The sequence below is a fragment of the Homo sapiens genome, chromosome 22 (assembly GCF_000001405.40).
Source record: "Homo sapiens chromosome 22, GRCh38.p14 Primary Assembly".
In the NCBI taxonomy this organism is placed as follows: domain Eukaryota; kingdom Metazoa; phylum Chordata; class Mammalia; order Primates; family Hominidae; genus Homo; species Homo sapiens.
Window position 1 is genome coordinate 18,938,160 of NC_000022.11, and position 20,465 is coordinate 18,958,624.

At 50.3% G+C, this 20,465-nt stretch overlaps 1 long non-coding RNA gene across 2 annotated transcripts in view, besides 11 other annotated features; it reads left to right on the plus strand.

The window, feature by feature from the left end:
• Positions 1-1,578: part of a biological region, named in NCBI's record as "human-specific endogenous retroviral insert PRODH enhancer", that runs on past the window's edge. NCBI's record gives its function as "regulatory_interactions: PRODH".
• Positions 1-1,578: part of a promoter, noted in NCBI's record as "PRODH upstream region including the hsERVPRODH element", that runs on past the window's edge. NCBI's record gives its function as "drives expression of the PRODH gene in transfected Tera-1 cells; is cytosine methylation-sensitive" and the evidence as "EXISTENCE:reporter gene assay evidence [ECO:0000049][PMID:24218577]".
• LOC122455341 (uncharacterized) overlaps positions 1-9,600 on the plus strand; it is an 11,337-nt gene extending 1,737 nt beyond the window's left edge. Inside the window, exons 3-4 of one of the 2 annotated variants that reach the window (NR_173080.2) lie at positions 1,514-1,590; positions 8,632-9,600. This is a non-coding gene — a long non-coding RNA (uncharacterized LOC122455341). Of the gene's footprint in view, positions 1-1,309; positions 1,591-8,631 lie in introns of those variants that run through there. The other variant, NR_173081.1, reaches the window with a different exon arrangement.
• Positions 514-1,578: an enhancer, noted in NCBI's record as "hsERV region present in the LTR+ construct but absent in the LTR- construct". NCBI's record gives its function as "activates the PRODH promoter in transfected Tera-1 cells" and the evidence as "EXISTENCE:reporter gene assay evidence [ECO:0000049][PMID:24218577]".
• Positions 515-1,482: a mobile genetic element.
• Positions 537-831: an enhancer, noted in NCBI's record as "tiled region #122; HepG2 Activating non-DNase unmatched - State 3:PromF". NCBI's record gives its function as "activates a minimal TATA promoter and a strong SV40 promoter by Sharpr-MPRA in HepG2 cells {active_cell/tissue: HepG2}" and the evidence as "EXISTENCE:reporter gene assay evidence [ECO:0000049][PMID:27701403]".
• Positions 537-831: a silencer, noted in NCBI's record as "tiled region #122; K562 Repressive non-DNase unmatched - State 22:ReprW". NCBI's record gives its function as "represses a minimal TATA promoter and a strong SV40 promoter by Sharpr-MPRA in K562 cells {active_cell/tissue: K562}" and the evidence as "EXISTENCE:reporter gene assay evidence [ECO:0000049][PMID:27701403]".
• Positions 693-1,200: an enhancer, noted in NCBI's record as "OCT4-NANOG-H3K27ac hESC enhancer chr22:18926365-18926872 (GRCh37/hg19 assembly coordinates)". NCBI's record gives its function as "activates a minimal SCP1, AML or CMV promoter by ChIP-STARR-seq in naive H9 embryonic stem cells {active_cell/tissue: H9 hESC(naive)}" and the evidence as "EXISTENCE:reporter gene assay evidence [ECO:0000049][PMID:30033119]".
• Positions 701-737: a protein binding site, noted in NCBI's record as "SOX2, site 2 oligonucleotide". NCBI's record gives the evidence for it as "EXISTENCE:protein binding evidence [ECO:0000024][PMID:24218577]".
• Positions 1,200-1,231: a protein binding site, noted in NCBI's record as "SOX2, site 1 oligonucleotide". NCBI's record gives the evidence for it as "EXISTENCE:protein binding evidence [ECO:0000024][PMID:24218577]".
• Positions 9,079-9,824: an enhancer, noted in NCBI's record as "OCT4-NANOG-H3K27ac-H3K4me1 hESC enhancer chr22:18934751-18935496 (GRCh37/hg19 assembly coordinates)". NCBI's record gives its function as "activates a minimal SCP1, AML or CMV promoter by ChIP-STARR-seq in naive H9 embryonic stem cells {active_cell/tissue: H9 hESC(naive)}" and the evidence as "EXISTENCE:reporter gene assay evidence [ECO:0000049][PMID:30033119]".
• Positions 19,620-20,137: an enhancer, noted in NCBI's record as "H3K27ac-H3K4me1 hESC enhancer chr22:18945292-18945809 (GRCh37/hg19 assembly coordinates)". NCBI's record gives its function as "activates a minimal SCP1, AML or CMV promoter by ChIP-STARR-seq in primed H9 embryonic stem cells {active_cell/tissue: H9 hESC(primed)}" and the evidence as "EXISTENCE:reporter gene assay evidence [ECO:0000049][PMID:30033119]".

The window sequence follows — 20,465 nt, forward strand, 5'->3', positions numbered from 1 at the left end:
GTATGAGCAACAAGGCTGTTTATTTCACCTGGGTGCAGGCAGGCTGAGTCCAAAAAAGGAGTCAGCAAAGGGTGGTGGGATTATCATTAGTTCTTACAGGTTTTGGGATAGGCAGTGGAGTTAAGAGCAATGTTCTGGGGGCAGGGGTGGATCTCACAAAGTACCTTCTCAAGGGTGGGGAGAATTACCAAGAACCTTCTTAAGGGTGGGGGAGATTATGAAGTACATTGATCAGTTAGGGTGGGGCAGAAACAAATCACAATGGTGGAATGTCATCAGTTAAGGCTATTTTCACTTCTTCTGTGGATCTTCAGTTGCTTCAGCCCATCTGGATGTATCCGTGCAGGTCACAAGGGATATGATGGCTTAGCTTGGGCTCAGAGGCCTGACACCTGGGCTCAAGTGATCCCCCTGCCTCAACCTCCCAAGTAGCTGGGACTACAGGCTGGACTGCACCTAGCTAATTTTTAAAAAATATTTTTTTGTGGAGACAGGGTCTGGCTGTGTTACCCAGTGTGGGGAAAAGCAAGAGAGATCAGATTGTTACTGTGTCTGTGTAGAAAGAAGTAGACATAGGAGACTCCATTTTGTTATGTGCTAAGAAAAATTCTTCTGCCTTGAGATTCTGTTAATCTATAACCTTACCCCCAACCCCGTGCTCTCTGAAACGTGTGCTGTGTCAACTCAGAGTTAAATGGATTAAGGGCGGTGCAGGATGTGCTTTGTTAAGCAGATGCTTGAAGGCAGCCTGCTCCTTAAGAGTCATCACCACTCCCTAATCTCAAGTACCCAGGGACACAAAAACTGCGGAAGGCCGCAGGGACCTCTGCCTAGGAAAGCCAGGTATTGTCCAAGGTTTCTCCCCATGTGATAGTCTGAAATATGGCCTCGTGGGAAGGGAAAGACCTGACCGTCCCCCAGCCCGACACCCGTAAAGGGTCTGTGCTGAGGAGAATTAGTAAAAGAGGAAGGAATGCCTCTTGCAGTTGAGACAAGAGGAAGGCATCTGTCTCCTGCCTGTCCCTGGGCAATGGAATGTCTCGGTATAAAACCCGATTGTATGCTCCATCTACTGAGATAGGGAAAAACCGCCTTAGGGCTGGAGGTGGGACCTGCGGGCAGCAATACTGCTTTGTAAAGCATTGAGATGTTTATGTGTATGCATATCTAAAAGCACAGCACTTAATCCTTTACATTGTCTATGATGCAAAGACCTTTGTTCACGTGTTTGTCTGCTGACCCTCTCCCCACAATTGTCTTGTGACCCTGACACATCCCCCTCTTCGAGAAACACCCACAAATGATGAATAAATACTAAGGGAACTCAGAGGCTGGCGGGATCCTCCATATGCTGAACGCTGGTTCCCCGGTTCCCCTTATTTCTTTCTCTATACTTTGTCTCTGTGTCTTTTTCTTTTCCAAATCTCTCGTCCCACCTTACGAGAAACACCCACAGGTGTGTAGGGGCAACCCACCCCTACATCTGGTGCCCAACATGGAGGCTTTTCTCTAGGGTGAAGGTACGCTCGAGCGTGGTCATTGAGGACAAGTCGACGAGAGATCCCGAGTACGTCTACAGTCAGCCTTACGGTAAGCTTGTGCGCTCGGAAGAAGCTAGGGTGATAATGGGGCAAACTAAAAGTAAAATTAAAAGTAAATATGCCTCTTATCTCAGCTTTATTAAAATTCTTTTAAAAAGAGGGGGAGTTAAAGTATCTACAAAAAATCTAATCAAGCTATTTCAAATAATAGAACAATTTTGCCCATGGTTTCCAGAACAAGGAACTTTAGATCTAAAAGATTGGAAAAGAATTGGTAAGGAACTAAAACAAGCAGGTAGGAAGGGTAATATCATTCCACTTACAGTATGGAATGATTGGGCCATTATTAAAGCAGCTTTAGAACCATTTCAAACAGAAGAAGATAGCGTTTCAGTTTCTGATGCCCCTGGAAGCTGTTTAATAGATTGTAATGAAAAGACAAGGAAAAAATCCCAGAAAGAAACGGAAAGTTTACATTGCGAATATGTAGCAGAGCCGGTAATGGCTCAGTCAACGCAAAATGTTGACTATAATCAATTACAGGAGGTGATATATCCTGAAACGTTAAAATTAGAAGGAAAAGGTCCAGAATTAGTGGGGCCATCAGAGTCTAAACCACGAGGGACAAGTCCTCTTCCAGCAGGTCAGGTGCCCGTAACATTACAACCTCAAAAGCAGGTTAAAGAAAATAAGACCCAACCGCCAGTAGCCTATCAATACTGGCCTCCGGCTGAACTTCAGTATCGGCCACCCCCAGAAAGTCAGTATGGATATCCAGGAATGCCCCCAGCACCACAGGGCAGGGCGCCATACCCTCAGCCGCCCACTAGGAGACTTAATCCTACGGCACCACCTAGTAGACAGGGTAGTGAATTACATGAAATTATTGATAAATCAAGAAAGGAAGGAGATACTGAGGCATGGCAATTCCCAGTAACGTTAGAACCGATGCCACCTGGAGAAGGAGCCCAAGAGGGAGAGCCTCCCACAGTTGAGGCCAGATACAAGTCTTTTTCGATAAAAATGCTAAAAGATATGAAAGAGGGAGTAAAACAGTATGGACCCAACTCCCCTTATATGAGGACATTATTAGATTCCATTGCTTATGGACATAGACTCATTCCTTATGATTGGGAGATTCTGGCAAAATCGTCTCTCTCACCCTCTCAATTTTTACAATTTAAGACTTGGTGGATTGATGGGGTACAAGAACAGGTCCGAAGAAATAGGGCTGCCAATCCTCCAGTTAACATAGATGCAGATCAACTATTAGGAATAGGTCAAAATTGGAGTACTATTAGTCAACAAGCATTAATGCAAAATGAGGCCATTGAGCAAGTTAGAGCTATCTGCCTTAGAGCCTGGGAAAAAATCCAAGACCCAGGAAGTGCCTGCCCCTCATTTAATACAGTAAGACAAGGTTCAAAAGAGCCCTATCCTGATTTTGTGGCAAGGCTCCAAGATGTTGCTCAAAAGTCAATTGCCGATGAAAAAGCCCGTAAGGTCATAGTGGAGTTGATGGCATATGAAAACGCCAATCCTGAGTGTCAATCAGCCATTAAGCCATTAAAAGGAAAGGTTCCTGCAGGATCAGATGTAATCTCAGAATATGTAAAAGCCTGTGATGGAATCGGAGGAGCTATGCATAAAGCTATGCTTATGGCTCAAGCAATAACAGGAGTTGTTTTAGGAGGACAAGTTAGAACATTTGGAGGAAAATGTTATAATTGTGGTCAAATTGGTCACTTAAAAAAGAATTGCCCAGTCTTAAACAAACAGAATATAACTATTCAAGCAACTACAACAGGTAGAGAGCCACCTGACTTATGTCCAAGATGTAAAAAAGGAAAACATTGGGCTAGTCAATGTCGTTCTAAATTTGATAAAAATGGGCAACCATTGTCGGGAAACGAGCAAAGGGGCCAGCCTCAGGCCCCACAACAAACTGGGGCATTCCCAATTCAGCCATTTGTTCCTCAGGGTTTTCAGGGACAACAACCCCCACTGTCCCAAGTGTTTCAGGGAATAAGCCAGTTACCACAATACAACAATTGTCCCCTGCCACAAGCAGCAGTGCAGCAGTAGATTTATGTACTATACAAGCAGTCTCTCTGCTTCCAGGGGAGCCCCCACAAAAAATCCCCACAGGGGTATATGGCCCCCTGCCTGAGGGGACTGTAGGACTAATCTTAGGAAGATCAAGTCTAAATCTAAAAGGAGTTCAAATTCATACTAGTGTGGTTGATTCAGACTATAAAGGCGAAATTCAGTTGGTTATTAGCTCTTCAATTCCTTGGAGTGCCAGTCCAGGAGACAGGAGTGCTCAATTATTACTCCTGCCATATATTAAGGGTGGAAATAGTGAACTAAAAAAAATAGGAGGGCTTGGAAGCACTGATCCAACAGGAAAGGCTGCATATTGGGCAAGTCAGGTCTCAGAGAACAGACCTGTGTGTAAGGCCATTATTCAAGGAAAACAGTTTGAAGGGTTGGTAGACACTGGAGCAGATGTCTCTATCATTGCTTTAAATCAGTGGCCAAAAAATTGGCCTAAACAAAAGGCTGTTACAGGACTTGTCGGCATAGGCACAGCCTCAGAAGTGTATCAAAGTACGGAGATTTTACATTGCTTAGGGCCAGATAATCAAGAAAGTACTGTTCAGCCAATGATTACTTCAATTCCTCTTAATCTGTGGGGTTGAGATTTATTACAACAATGGGGTGCGGAAATCACCATGCCCGCTCCATTATATAGCCCCACGAGTCAAAAAATCATGACCAAGATGGGATATATACCAGGAAAGGGACTAGGGAAAAATGAAGATGGCATTAAAATTCCATTTGAGGCTAAAATAAATCAAAAAAGAGAAGGAATAGGGTATCCTTTTTAGGGGCGGCCACTATAGAGCCTCCTAAACCCATACCATTAACTTGGAAAACAGAAAAACCGGTGTGGGTAAATCAGTGGCCGCTACCAAAACAAAAACTGGAGGCTTTACATTTATTAGTAAATGAACAGTTAGAAAAGGGTCATATTGAGCCTTCGTTCTCACCTTGGAATTCTCCTGTGTTTGTAATTCAGAAGAAATCAGGCAAATGGCGTATGTTAACTGACTTAAGGGCCGTAAACGCCTTAATTCAACCCATGGGGCCTCTCCAACCCGGGTTGCCCTCTCCGGCCATAATCCCAAAAGATTAGCCTTTAATTATAATTGATCTAAAGGATTGCTTTTTTACCATCCCTCTGGCAGAGCAGGATTGTGAAAAATTTGCCTTTACTATACCAGCCATAAATAATAAAGAACCAGCCACCAGGTTTCAGTGGAAAGTGTTACCTCAGGGAATGCTTAATAGTCCAACTATTTGTCAGACTTTTGTAGGTCGAGCTCTTCAACCAGTTAGAGAAAAGTTTTCAGACTGTTATATTATTCATTATATTGATGATATTTTATGTGCTGCAGAAACGAAAGATAAATTAATTGACTGTTATACATTTCTGCAAGCAGAGGTTGCCAATGCTGGACTGGCAATAGCATCTGATAAGATCCAAACCTCTACTCCTTTTCATTATTTAGGGATGCAGATAGAAAATAGAAAAATTAAGCCACAAAAATAGAAATAAGAAAAGATACATTAAAAACACTAAATGATTTTCAAAAATTACTAGGAGATATTAATTGGATTCGGCCAACTCTAGGCATTCCTACTTATGCCATGTCAAATTTGTTCTCTATCTTAAGAGGAGACTCAGACTTAAATAGTAAAAGAATATTAACCCCAGAGGCAACAAAAGAAATTAAATTAGTGGAAGAAAAAATTCAGTCAGCGCAAATAAATAGAATAGATCCCTTAGCCCCACTCCAGCTTTTGATTTTTGCCACTGCACATTCTCCAACAGGCATCATTATTCAAAATACTGATCTTGTGGAGTGGTCATTCCTTCCTCACAGTACAGTTAAGACTTTTACATTGTACTTGGATCAAATGGCTACATTAATCGGTCAGACAAGATTACGAATAATAAAATTATGTGGAAATGACCAAGACAAAATAGTTGTCCCTTTAACCAAGGAACAAGTTAGACAAGCCTTTATCAATTCTGGTGCATGGCAGATTGGTCTTGCTAATTTTGTGGGAATTATTGATAATCATTACCCAAAAACAAAGATCTTCCAGTTCTTAAAATTGACTACTTGGATTCTACCTAAAATAACCAGACGTGAACCTTTAGAAAATGCTCTAACAGTATTTACTGATGGTTCCAGCAATGGAAAAGCAGCTTACACAGGGCCGAAAGAACGAGTAATCAAAACTCCATATCAATCGGCTCAAAGAGCAGAGTTGGTTGCAGTCATTACAGTGTTACAAGATTTTGACCAACCTATCAATATTATATCAGATTCTGCCTATGTAGTACAGGCTACAAGGGATGTTGAGACGGCTCTAATTAAATATAGCATGGATGATCAGTTAAACCAGCTATTCAATTTATTACAACAAACTGTAAGAAAAAGAAATTTCCCATTTTATATTACTCATATTCGAGCACACACTAATTTACCAGGGCCTTTGACTAAAGCAAATGAACAAGCTGACTTACTGGTATCATCTGCACTCATAAAAGCACAAGAACTTCATGCTTTGACTCATGTAAATGCAGCAGGATTAAAAAACAAATTTGATGTCACATGGAAACAGGCAAAAGATATTGTACAACATTGCACCCAGTGTCAAGTCTTACACCTGCCCACTCAAGAGGCAGGAGTTAATCCCAGAGGTCTGTGTCCTAATGCATTATGGCAAATGGATGTCACGCATGTACCTTCATTTGGAAGATTATCATATGTTCATGTAACAGTTGATACTTATTCACATTTCATATGGGCAACTTGCCAAACAGGAGAAAGTACTTCCCATGTTAAAAAACATTTATTGTCTTGTTTTGCTGTAATGGGAGTTCCAGAAAAAATCAAAACTGACAATGGACCAGGATATTGTAGTAAAGCTTTCCAAAAATTCTTAAGTCAGTGGAAAATTTCACATACAACAGGAATTCCTTATAATTCCCAAGGACAGGCCATAGTTGAAAGAACTAATAGAACACTCAAAACTCAATTAGTTAAACAAAAAGAAGGGGGAGACAGTAAGGAGTGTACCACTCCTCAGATGCAACTTAATCTAGCACTCTATACTTTAAATTTTTTAAACATTTATAGAAATCAGACTACTACTTCTGCAGAACAACATCTTACTGGTAAAAAGAACAGCCCACATGAAGGAAAACTAATTTGGTGGAAAGATAATAAAAATAAGACATGGGAAATAGGGAAGGTGATAACGTGGGGGAGAGGTTTTGCTTGTGTTTCACCAGGAGAAAATCAGCTTCCTGTTTGGATACCCACTAGACATTTGAAGTTCTACAATGAACCCATCGGAGATGCAAAGAAAAGGGCCTCCGCGGAGATGGTAACACCAGTCACATGGATGGATAATCCTATAGAAGTATATGTTAATGATAGCGAATGGGTACCTGGCCCCACAGATGATCGCTGCCCTGCCAAACCTGAGGAAGAAGGGATGATGATAAATATTTCCATTGGGTATCGTTATCCTCCTATTTGCTTAGGGACAGCACCAGGATGTTTAATGCCTGCAGTCCAAAATTGGTTGGTAGAAGTACCTATTGTCAGTCCCATCAGTAGATTCACTTATCACATGGTAAGCGGGATGTCACTCAGGCCACGGGTAAATTATTTACAAGACTTTCCTTATCAAAGATCATTAAAATTTAGACCTAAAGGGAAACCTTGCCCCAAGGAAATTCCCAAAGAATCAAAAAATACAGAAGTTTTAGTTTGGGAAGAATGTGTGGCCAATAGTGCGGTGATATTACAAAACAATGAATTCGGAACTATTATAGATTGGGCACCTCGAGGTCAATTCTACCACAATTGCTCAGGACAAACTCAGTCATGTCCAAGTGCACAAGTGAGTCCAGCTGTTGATAGCGACTTAACAGAAAGTTTAGACAAACATAAGCATAAAAAATTGCAGTCTTTCTACCCTTGGGAATGGGGAGAAAAAGGAATCTCTACCCCAAGACCAAAAATAATAAGTCCTGTTTCTGGTCCTGAACATCCAGAATTATGGAGGCTTACTGTGGCCTCACACCACATTAGAATTTGGTCTGGAAATCAAACTTTAGAAACAAGAGATCGTAAGCCATTTTATACTGTCGACCTAAATTCCAGTCTAACACTTCCTTTACAAAGTTGCGTAAAGCCCCCTTATATGCTAGTTGTAGGAAATATAGTTATTAAACCAGACTCCCAGACTATAACCTGTGAAAACTGTAGATTGCTTACTTGCATTGATTCAACTTTTAATTGGCAACACCGTATTCTGCTGGTGAGAGCAAGAGAGGGCGTGTGGATCCTTGTGTCCATGGACCGACCGTGGGAGGCCTCACCATCCGTCCATATTTTGACTGAAGTATTAAAAGGTGTTTTAAATAGATCCAAAAGATTCATTTTTACTTTAATTGCAGTGATTATGGGATTAATTGCAGTCACAGCTACGGGTGCTGTAGCAGGAGTTGCATTGCACTCTTCTGTTCAGTCAGTAAACTTTGTTAATGATTGGCAAAAAAATTCTACAAGATTGTGGAATTCACAATCTAGTATTGATCAAAAATTGGCAAATCAAATTAATGATCTTAGACAAACTGTCATTTGGATGGGAGACAGACTCATGAGCTTAGAACATCGTTTCCAGTTACAATGTGACTGGAATACGTCAGATTTTTGTATTACACCCCAAATTTATAATGAGTCTGAGCATCACTGGGACATGGTTAGACGCCATCTACAGGGAAGAGAAGATAATCTCACTTTAGACATTTCCAAATTAAAAGAACAAATTTTCGAAGCATCAAAAGCCCATTTAAATTTGGTGCCAGGAACTGAGGCAATTGCAGGAGTTGCTGATGGCCTCGCAAATCTTAACCCTGTCACTTGGGTTAAGACCATTGGAAGTACTACGATTATAAATCTCATATTAATCCTTGTGTGCCTGTTTTGTCTGTTGTTAGTCTGCAGGTGTACCCAACAGCTCCGAAGAGACAGCGACCATCGAGAACGGGCCATGATGACGATGGCGGTTTTGTCGAAAAGAAAAGGGGGAAATGTGGGGAAAAGCAAGAGAGATCAGATTGTTACTGTGTCTGTGTAGAAAGAAGTAGACATAGGAGACTCCATTTTGTTATGTGCTAAGAAAAATTCTTCTGCCTTGAGATTCTGTTAATCTATAACCTTACCCCCAACCCCGTGCTCTCTGAAACGTGTGCTGTGTCAACTCAGAGTTAAATGGATTAAGGGCGGTGCAGGATGTGCTTTGTTAAACAGATGCTTGAAGGCAGCATGCTCCTTAAGAGTCATCACCACTCCCTAATCTCAAGTACCCAGGGACACAAAAACTGCGGAAGGCCGCAGGGACCTCTGCCTAGGAAAGCCAGGTATTGTCCAAGGTTTCTCCCCATGTGATAGTCTGAAATATGGCCTCGTGGGAAGGGAAAGACCTGACCGTCCCCCAGCCCGACACCAAGGGTCTGTGCTGAGGAGGATTAGTAAAAGAGGAAGGAATGCCTCTTGCAGTTGAGACAAGAGGAAGGCATCTGTCTCCTGCCTGTCCCTGGGCAATGGAATGTCTCGGTATAAAACCCGATTGTATGCTCCATCTACTGAGATAGGGAAAAACCGCCTTAGGGCTGGAGGTGGGACCTGCGGGCAGCAATACTGCTTTGTAAAGCATTGAGATGTTTATGTGTATGCATATCTAAAAGCACAGCACTTAATCCTTTACATTGTCTATGATGCAAAGACCTTTGTTCACGTGTTTGTCTGCTGACCCTCTCCCCACAATTGTCTTGTGACCCTGACACATCCCCCTCTTCGAGAAACACCCACAAGTGATGAATAAATACTAAGGGAACTCAGAGGCTGGCGGGATCCTCCATATGCTGAACGCTGGTTCCCCGGTTCCCCTTATTTCTTTCTCTATACTTTGTCTCTGTGTCTTTTTCTTTTCCAAATCTCTCGTCCCACCTTACGAGAAACACCCACAGGTGTGTAGGGGCAACCCACCCCTACAACCCAGGTTGATCTGAAACTCCTGGGCTCAAGCAATCCTCCTACCTTGGCCTCTCAGAGTGCTGGGATTCAGGCATGAGCCACTGCGCCCAGTCATGGATTATTTTGAAAGAATGATGCCCTGCCAGGGCCAGAGGATCCAGGTGGGAGTTGGCGGTGGGGGGGTCCTCAGGGAGATCGGCTGGATGGGAGTTGAGTGCCGGGGACAGAGGGGTGGGGTCTGTTCTCCAGCTCAGGAGACAGGCAGAGCTGAGAGGGCCAGACTTGGGCATGTGGTGGTGACCCAGCTGCTGGGCGCCCCCGAGGTTGGGCCGGTCACCAGGGCCTGCCACTCCCAAGGAGGAAGCAGACAAGAAACAGACCTTCGAGGGTAGAGAGGCCGCTGTGCTGCCTGTCCGGGCCCCTGCGGACATGCAGTCAGCCCCGCTCAGGACTCCTTCCATTCTCCCACTTGCACTCATTCCCAGCGAGATAATTGTTTCTCCTCAGCCATGAGCATGACATTGGAGCTCTGGCAAAGTCAGGTTTTTTTGTTGTCTTTTTTGCCATGTGCCTCTTACCTGTACTCCTGAAATATTTGTTTCTGTGCTGGAACCATGGCTCCCTGCATTCATTCTGATTTGTTGCATTTTTGCTGCTTGCCCTGTAGCTACTTTTACCAATACATTTGCTCTGTCTGCAGGCAAAGGAATTCATTCACATTTGTTTAATTTGGAGCTTGTCTTTCCTTTATCAGCCTGCACCAAACCTGGGCTGCTGGGTATATAAATTTCCCTCATCGGTACGTTATCCCATTATCCACTTCATGCTGCCGTTCACAGATCCTACTTGAGTTCTGTTCAGCTATGTCATTTTATTCATTTTTTGCAAAGCTAGTAAAATGTGATTGCATTTCCTGAAGTTAAGATTGTCTGCTGGATCCCAGAACACGCCACTGTTTATGTGAATGCAATCACACTTCACCACTTTATATAATCATTTTCAATGCGTGTATGAGAAAAGGTAGTTAGATCCCCCCACCCCTGCTAGATTGTTTCCTGCTGAGACCAGCTTAGTCGGGGAGACCCTAACACGGTGGCGCTAGAATAATTAAAGACACACACACACAGAAATACAGAGGTGTGGAGTGGGAAATCAGGGGTCTCACAGCCTTCAGAGCTGAGAGCCTCAAACAGAGATTTACCCACATATTTATTGACAGCAAGCCAGTGATAAACATTGTTTCTTTCTTTTTTTTTTTTGAGACAGAGTCTCGCTCTATTGCCCAGGCTGGTGTGCAGTGGGACAATCTCCACTTACTGCAAGCTCTGCCTCCCGGGTTCACCTGCCTCAGCCTCCCAAGTGGCTGGGACTACAGGCGCCCGCCACCACACCCGGCTAATTTTTTGTATTTTTAGTAGAGACGGGGTTTCACCATGTTAGCCAGGATGGTCTAGATCTCCTGACCTTGTGATCCGCCCGCCTCGGCCTCCCAAAGTGCTGGGATTACAGGCGTGAGCCACTGCACCTGGCGTGTTTTTATCCATTTTAATGGGTTACTAGCTGCTAATCTGTCTGCAGCTCCTTCAAGCACTCCAGTTCCTGGCATTAAGGTCAGATGTTCCTGGGATGCTTTAAATATTTGTTCTTTTAATTTTGCACATCCAAAGACAAATTTGTAGAGGGCCCTTCTAGATGCTTTTTTATTCTTTCCCAAATTTTGATCTTATTAAGAACTGTTAATAGTTTCCACAAATCCTTATGTGAAGCTCCTAGAGCGGGCCATATCATTTGAGATTGAGGTGCCACTATACTGCCATGGTTCCAGATAATGGGAACTTTTGCCATACTTCTTATCATTTCTACCACCTGACCATTTGTTCAGACCAGCTGAACATAGGGTGGCCGTGGCATGCAGACTGAGAGGTGCAATTCAAGCTAAACATCCCCTTAGGGGACCAATCAATAATGATTCCATAGGAATCGCTGCGCAGCACCTCTGCCTGTTCTGCAATGCAATCTTCCTAAACAAGTACGTTCATTATTTCTGGCCAGGTTCTATTTTGTTTACAAATAGGTTTTTGAAGGCAGTATGCCTCAATTATAGGAGCAGATTTATTATGGTAAATACTGAGATCAGAAAGCATGTGTAAATACGTCATAGAGTGATTACTTTCAGGCATTATTACCAGTCAAGATTGATAAATATGCCCTGTAAGTATAATTGTTCTCTGTGTCAGACCTTGTTGAAGGAATACTCACGGCAGTGGTGATAACCGATATCATAGCTACCAGTAAATTACTCATTGTGACTGGTTGTCCCTCTTTCCTCAGGTTTTCTTCTGCCATCTGTGACAGCTTCTTGATCTGTCCCCAGGTGGGTGGCTGTGTTCAATGGGTGTTGCTTGTGACAGTTGGCTGGTGTGAGATGTGTTTCAGCCCCAGGTCTCAGCCAGTGGTCGCCCAGTGGCACAGTCAGAGCCGGGCCTGCCTGGTTCCCTGGGCTGGCACTCTGAGTCCAAGGTGGCACGGTTGGGCAGCGACCCCTCCCTGAGCCCCCAACCTCTGACCTCCTAGGCACTGGCCTGAGCCGTGGCTTCTGAAAAGGAAAACCTGGGAATTCCTTCAATGTCCACCTTAGGTGATGATGGGCTCAGGGCACCATGGGGTGTGCCCAAGATGATGAGCCCCTCCCTGCATGTCAGTAACAGGGACACACATCTCTGATGCGCGGGGAGGGAAGAGTCTGAGTGTGTGAAGCTGTCTGTCCATGCAGGCCACATGTGGATGGGGGGCAAGGACATGGAATGGAGGAAGACAGGACTCAATGTTTTTGCATCGACCGCTCTTGTATAAGAGCGGTCTTTACAAAGTAATAATGCCTTGAGTTAACCCCACAGTTTATCTTGTAATGTGGAACAGTCAGGGCCAATTGAAGATGAGCATCCCCCTGAGGCTGACTCATAGCCGGGCCGCTGGAGCCAGGCCCTTCGGGGTATTTGAGATTTCTTTAGCCAGGCCTGGGGGGCACTGGCAGGGAGTGCCTCCAGAGCTGTTCACGGCCTTTGTCTCCCCTCTGGGAAGGGCACTGAGTGGAGTCAGGTGAGGGGCCCGTGCTCGCCCACCAGGGTTGTTCCAAACACAGGCAGCAGGGCTCCCTGGCAAGCTCCCGGGTGCCCTGTGAGCAGCTCTGACGTCGGTGGACAGTGTTCCCAGTGAGTCTGCCGTCAGTCCTTGTGCCCAGCATTGATTTTCCTTCCGCGGTCAAGCTAGGCTGTGTTGTTGGTACTCGCTGTACCTCCAGGTGCTGAGCAAGCTGACCTTGGCCTCCCTGGCCCCACGGCTGCATGAGGCTAATCTCCCCCTACACACCCCACCCCTCTGCCCCCGCCAACACCAGGGCACAGAGGGGCTGGCCCATGGCTTTCTTGAAACGGTGCATTTCACTTCTGATTATAAAACTAAGGCGTGCTTTGGTAGACAGCGTGGTGGATATGGGGAAGGATAAAAGGACATCAACCTGTTCTGACATCCCAGCACCCAGGGCAGGGACCCAGAGGGGAGATTTGGGTGTATTTCTCTCCGTTGTCTTCTCTGCAGGCATGACACAGGTGTGCACACACTCATCCAGCCCACTGACGTGTGCACAAGCATGAACACATGTGGGACACTTGCCCTGCGCTGCAGTGTGTGTGAGTCATGTGCACGTCCACTGCCCTCTGTGGAAGGCGTGTTCACACCTGTGCACATACCTGAGGCCGCTCTATCACTGCAGGCCCCTGTGCATTTCCTGGGAGGTATGTTCCCATTTCATTAAGAATTCTCGGCCGGGCGCTGTGGTTCACACCTGTAATCCCAGCACTTTGGGAGGCCGAGGCGGGTGGATCACGAGGTCAGGAGATCAAGACCATCCTGGCCAACATGGTGAAACCCCGTCTCTACTAAACATACAAAAATTAGCCGGGCGTGGTGGTGGGTGCCTGTAGTCCCAGCTACTTGGGAGGCTGAGGCAGGAGAATGGCGTGAACCCGGGAGGCGGAGCTTGCAGTGAGCCGAGATCCCGCCACTGCACTCCAGCCTGGGCGACAGAGCGAGACTCCGTCTCAAAAAAAAAAAAAAAAAGAAAAAGAAAAAGAAAAAGAAAAAGAATTCTCAGTGATGGATCTACTCCAGGCCCTGCCTCACCATCACTAGCCACAGAGCTACTCACAGCCAGTGCTCTCCTCACAGGGGTCTGAATGGCAAGGAGTGAGCCGCAGGATGACCCAGGACAAGTGGCAGCAACAGGGTGAGTTCCCAGGATGCTGGACAGGCTGTGTGCAGCTCCCGGTTCTCAGCGGGTACAGAGATCCCAGGGAAAGCCGTGAGATGACTCCTGCACTTGTCCTGCCAGCAACCTGCAGGGGTGGGTGGGATCAAGAGTGACAGAAACCGCAGGCACCAGGCATCCCCCCAAAAGAGCAAGGGGGCTCTGGGTGATGTCCTGGAGGGGCAGGAGCAAGGAGGGAGGCCAGGGGCACCGAGGGCATCTCATCACATGGGCTCTGTCCCAGCCACAGTGCTGTCTCTCCCAGAGCCCTGTGTAGCCTCCTGCCCATAGGTGAAGACCCAGCCTCAGCTCCCTGCACGCAGCAGGCCCACCCATCCATCCATCTGTTCACACCAGGAAGCCCAGAGGCAGGTGGATGGCCTCTGTCCTGGCAGTGCAACATTGCTGGAAGCATCCTCCAAGAGTCACCCATCCCCACAGACACTGATGGAGGACAGCAATGATGCTTCCTGACAGCAACCACCATTCACTGAGCATTCAGCAGGGGTGGGTGTCAGGGTCAGCCTCCACCACGTCACTGTGGGAACAGCCCCCAGGACCCGCTAACTCATTTTATACATCAGGAGGAAAGCCAGGGAGCACGGTACACTCTCCAGCTACCGTGGGGCCAGCACACTGTCCAGCCACCTTGGGCCAGTGAAACGGAAAAAGTTCCCTTGTTGCCCTAGCAGTGTGTGTGAGAAGGGGAGTGGCTCGCTTCTTCAGTGCTCCACTGCCCAAACCTCTAGGGGAGCTTACAGACGGGCAGGCTGTGGAGCTCCGACCCCACAGCAGTGTCTAGGGGTGAAGGTTTACAGCTGAAGCCCCAGTGGGCGTGTGTCACGGGGGCTTTTTTAGTTTGTCGTCTGTAGGGTGGCTTGTGTTAGTCAGAGGGCTTTCTGGATCCTGGGGTTCTTGCCTTTGTGTACCAGAAGAGTCAGATCACACGTGGACTTGGAGAATGAGTGCAAGGTTTTATTGAGGGGAGGTGGCTCCCAGCAGATAGGGGAAGCTAGAAGGGGGTGGAGTGGGAAGGTTTTCCCCTGGAGTGGGGCCGCTGTGCACCCGGGCTGTCCTCCAACTGCCCCAGCCAAACTCCGCGTGGTTCTGCCAGTCAGTGGCCTGCCAGCATGCCGGTGCCTATCAGTGCGTTCATCTCGACATCCAGCCGCCCGTGTGTGTCTCCGCTGATGTGCTCCTCTCCACGTCCAGCTGCCTGTGTCTGCCTGCTAAGGTCTCAGGGGATTTTATAAGCACAGGATGGGGGCGTGGCAGGCCAGGGTGGTCGTGAGAAATGCAACATTTGGGTAGGAAGTGCCTGTTCTCACCTAGGTCCGTGGGGTTGGAGCCCTAGTCTGGGACCATGCCCTCCTCTACCCAGCACTTCCTTTCCCTGCTTCCGTATCATTTAAATGGACCACACTTTTCCCTTCCCAGCACTTGCCTTCCCTATCAACAGCACATTCTCTAGCCACCATGGGGTCAGCACACTCTCCAGCTACGTCGGGCCAGCAGCGGCTGGGCTCCAACTCAGGTCTGCACCAGACCCTCATTCTTAAACCCCTGCGTCTCGGCCTGCCCATGTTCCAGCTTCCCCAAGTCTTGACTCCCAATGTCCCAGCCTCCTTGAGGTCTCAGTCTCCCTGTTCCAGGCCTCAGCCTCCCCTGAGTCCCTGCCTAGCCCAGTTCCTACCTCCCACTTCCCCTCCCCAGGTCTCTGCTACCATGGCCCACCCAGCTGCACCCCCACCCCACACTTCTCCTGGGACCCAGGAGGCCACTCATGGGCTAAGCCTGGTGGCATCTTCATGTAAACCTTGCCCTGAGCACACGCCCGTGGCTGTGGCTGCTGACTTTCACTGTGCATATTAAATGCCATTAAGATGGTTGCGATTGGTTTTCAGTGTCCAGAGGACTGCAGCACACGGAGAAACAGCCGCCCTGCAGGGCCTCTCCCCGAGCTCTGGCGGGTGAGCCCTTGTGGGAGGGGCTGGGGAGCTGGGACCCATTTAGGGTGTGGTTGGGGGAGAAGGCAGGAGGCAGGTGGGACCTCCCCCGGAACCTCTCCTGAGACACCCTAAGGGCTGGGAATGGGAGCTACTTGGTGGGGGAACCCAGCAGGGGTTTCCTGTCCCCGGGCTCTGGCCATGACGAGGACCCTCCTGCTGTTGCCTCTCCCAAGGCCACTCGGCCCCTGCTCACTGTGCAACCTTACAGAGCAGCTCAGCCTCTCTGAGCCCCTCTGTCATCTTTAGCCACTGCCCACCAGAGTCCCCTTGGAGCTGCTGGCCAAGGCAAGGCTGGGCAGGGGCTTGACATAGGCTCTCACGCCTTCAGATGCCCTCAAATGGGATTCAACCCCGTCTTGGCTCCTGAGACCTCCCAGCCTGGGGTCTGAGGGTCTGTCCAGATCTGCAGGTAGATGGCTGGGCCTGCAGGGACAGAGGCGGCCGGCGGAGGGCAGCAGAGGGCCGCAGAACTGAGCGGCCGGCACTCACCAGGCCGGGATGTGGCCACCCTGCATGCAAGCAGCCCTGCCTCTGCCCTGGGTCTTGTCCCACCCCCCAGGACACCCAGGCCCTGGCTTGGCTGCGGCAGGGAGGCCAGGCCTCACCCCTCTCCCTCCTGACACCTGCCCAGCCACTGGCTTGGGCCGCCGCCCTCCAGGCCTCTCCTGCCACCCACCCCAGCACCAGGCCCCCTGATGCCCCTGCTTCCCTCCCAAGGGTCCCTCCTAGACACCATCCTGGCCCAGCCAAGATGCCAGCACAGGATCTCCCCAAAACACTCTGGGCCCTGGAGGACAGGGTGAGGCTCCGGCACCTTCCAGGTGGCACTCATGATGGACAATCTCAGGGGCCACACACCCTGGACCCACCTCCCCCAGTGCAGAGACCCCCACGGCAGGCTCTCAGCCGTGAATATGGACACACAAGGCTCCCGGGACATGGGCAAAGGGTTGACACTGGCTCATAGTGTGGGCACCATGTCACAGGGCGAGACGGAGACTCAGCCCCCAGGGTAGCGGCCAGTGCTGACCTTGGGCTAGGCCAGGGCCTGGCCATGCTGAACCAGGTCTGAGCATCCTCAGGGGCCAGCCTCTCCCTGTGGGGTCCCCACAAAGGTGGCCATGGGCTGTCCTCTGATGACAGGAAGCCCCCCTTCCCGTCAGCCCCGTCTGTCAGCTCCCTCTGCCCTGGGGTGAGGCCTCTATGGTGAGGCCCATGGTCCTGGCTCCAACCTCGCACTCCTCGGGACCCACTCCCATGCCCGGCTCCCTGCCAGACCCACACACCCAACCCAGCTAACACCAGCCCCACCCTGTCCTGCCCCACGGGGGCAGTGCCCTCCACTCTCCTTCACTGGTCCCCTCTCCGTCCTCCTCTCACCCACTCTTAAGAAACCTCCCACACATGAGCACCCGTCCGTCCCCACACCTGCTCACCAGGCCTGGCTGGGCCTGACCCTCTCCTGAAGTGAGGGCTGCAGCCTGGTCGGCTCAGCTCATCAGCACAGACTTGTTTCTGTCACAACAGCTGATGAGGACTGAGCAGATCATGGGCTAGCCAGGTCTCCATGGCCTGCCCCAGGCACCGTGATGTTCCAGGATGGTAAAATGAGGGAGGAGGTCCAGGTGGCTGACAGCTGGCTGAGGCAGAATGCGCTGATTGGCGCTGCCCAGAGGGGAGGTGGACCCCTGGGCTAAGGGAGCTCCAAGGAACAGAGCTGAACCCACCACTAACAAAAGATGGGCCAGAGCCAGCACCGTATGCCACAGCACGCAGAACAAAGGCCTCGTGCCCTGTGCCCAGCTGGCCGTGTGTCCCCTCCAGGCCCGTCACTGGGCTTCCTGACCGCCTCATCTCCACTGTCTCTGGTAGCCACCCTCATTGTACCCTTCTCCATGGTGCCCTCTGAATGAGGCCACCATGTCCGAGGGGACATGGATGACTCCAGCTGGCATGGCCTTGCCCATCCCTTGGGGCTGCAGCACAGTGGCCACCCTCTCCTCACTGCTGGGAATGTTCTGGAGCTGAGTTGGTGCAGGGAGGGTGAAGAGGCCCCGAGCCCTCCACACACCCACCTCTGGCAGCAGTTAGCAGCAGCTGGGGAGAGAAGGGTGTGAGCTCTTGCAGACATGGCACCCCAGGGTATCCTGTGCCAGGGGACACTTTGGCCATGAAGGAACTGTCGGGGCATGGCAAGCTCTGGGGGGCATCGAGGGTGCACTGACAGCACTTGTAGGGGAGCGGGGTCCCAGTCTCAGCACTGTCCAGTCAGACAGGCCTGGCCTGAGTTCCAACTGCCTCTCCCAGCTGTTTGACCCCAAACATCATGGTTTTCTGGCCTCTGGAACGGTGCTGGAGAGGGATGAAAGCATCACCGGGGGTGCAGGAGGAACCACAAAGTCCTGTGGAAGTTCATGGCAGCTGTGAGCCTTTCATTCTGAGTATCTGAGACCCCAGGAGGGGCTGGGCGCTCGTCTGGGCTGATGTCTCACAGTGAGGGGCGGCGGCCCCAGCCAGGATGCACCATTCATTGCCATTGATGAGGTCTGGGAAGAGAGGTGGTTTGGGGGACATCATACGGGGTCCCTGGGCCGGAGGGTCCCATCTTTGGAACAGAGGGGCCGGGGGCCATTCCAGAACAGTGTCCAGGAGAGAATGGGCTCTAAGCCGACCACCCAGCCCCCTCCTGCCATGTGGGGCTCTGTGCTGAGTGCATGGCCCCCCAGCCCCCCGCCTGTTTGATGGCTTCTCCCCTCCCCTCTCTGCTGCCTGGTCCCCTGGAGCTCTCCCTTCCCCAGCATGGGGCTCAGTTAAAGAAAAAACTGATTCCTGCAGATGAGGGGAGGAACAGCCCTGCTGGAGGCAAGGTGGGCGTGGGGGGAGCTTGTCTCCCCTGATGCGCAGGCAGTGGCTGGCGGAGCGTCTTCGGGGGTGGGGGATGAAAGCTCAGACTCTGGCCTGTGGGTTCCAGCTCTAGGCTTCCCAACCACCAGGCTCCCCAAAAGGTCTGTAGTGTCCTGGGCACCCAGGCCCCGATCTCGGGGGCAGGGGGCACAGTGCCTCCCACAAGCGGCTCTCGGCCCAGCCTCAGGGCTCCTCACGCACACCCAGGGCCTCTGGAGTGGGCAACTCCTGCACCCTCCACTTCCCTCAGCTCAAAACCAGGGCAGGTTCGAAACGCGCGTGCAGCTCATCATAAACACGGGTTTGGAATTTCTAACGCGGTGCCTCCAATTTCACAAAATATTGCCCCACTTTAGACATTCTCAAGGAAAGGAAATGGGGGCTGGGAGGGCCCAGGGCCTGTGGAGGGTGGGGCTGGGGGAAGCAGCCATGGGACCCTTTCCCTGCTGCTTTCAATCTGGCTCAGATATTTTTTAGATGAAATAAAATCTGATTCAGTGGTGGTTTCTGCACTGCCCCCAGGGTCTGGGGTCAGAATTCCCCCGCTGGGGCACAATAGGTGCCATTTCCCATGTTTGGGGGCTCAGGGAACAGGGTGTAAGCCATGAGGGGAGGGGCTTGGGAAGGTGGGGATGGGCTGCTGGAGGCCGTGGGCCGGCGTCTTGGTGTGGCAGCCTCCACCACGGCAGGCAGGTCATTTGATGCCCAAGGCCCAGGGCCCCCTGTCCAAGGTGAGGAGCTGTGGCTGGGTCTCTGGGGAGGCCAGGCTGCCTGCAGTGGACCGGCTATACCCTGGAGCCCCGCGCTAATGCCCATCCTCAGATGCTCCCAGCTCCGGCTTGCCTCAGGGCCTTGGCACTGGTGACCCCTCCCGGTCTCCTGCACTGTCTTCAGAGCCTATGGCAGCAGCCCCACCTGAGTTCCAGCTCTGCAGTCTGCTTTGGGCCACATTTCCTCACTGCAGGCCCAGCTGGCTCTCAGCATGGTATCTGCCCGGGTGCCCACATCACAGAGACTGGGGTATGGAGGATGGCAGGCTCCCAGGGACCCTCTGGGCCGATCTCCAGGTTGGGTGCATGCTGGACACTCACTCCATTCTGCCCTCCATTTGCCCATGCTCCGTCCACCCAGCCGGGCCCGGAGGGTCAGGGGTGTGTGGGCAGGTGCTGCTCAGAGGCCCTGGCTATGGGGCAGGGGGCCCAGCCTCAAGACTGCGGCCTGGCCCTGAGCGTGGGCGCAGCCTGGCTCCCCGACTCTCCCTCCCCATAAATAAAAGATTCCCTTCCTCCTTCCAGCTTGCGCAGCCGCCGCCTGCTCGCCGGCCCGGCCCTTTGTGCCCACGCGTTGCCATGGAGATGGGCGATTCAAAGTCCTGGCACTTCAAGGCTTCCCTCCTCTCCTGGTGGGCCGGGGCGGGGGTAGCCGGGATGGTTGCCCGAGCCCCAGTGGGTGCCGCCTCCTCTCTCTGTCCAGTAAAATGCCAGATCCTGCCGGGGCTAGGGCACCCACCAATTCTCACTCTGGTGTGGGTGGCTGACTCTGGCCCCTACCCTGAAAACAGATGCGCTTTTACAGG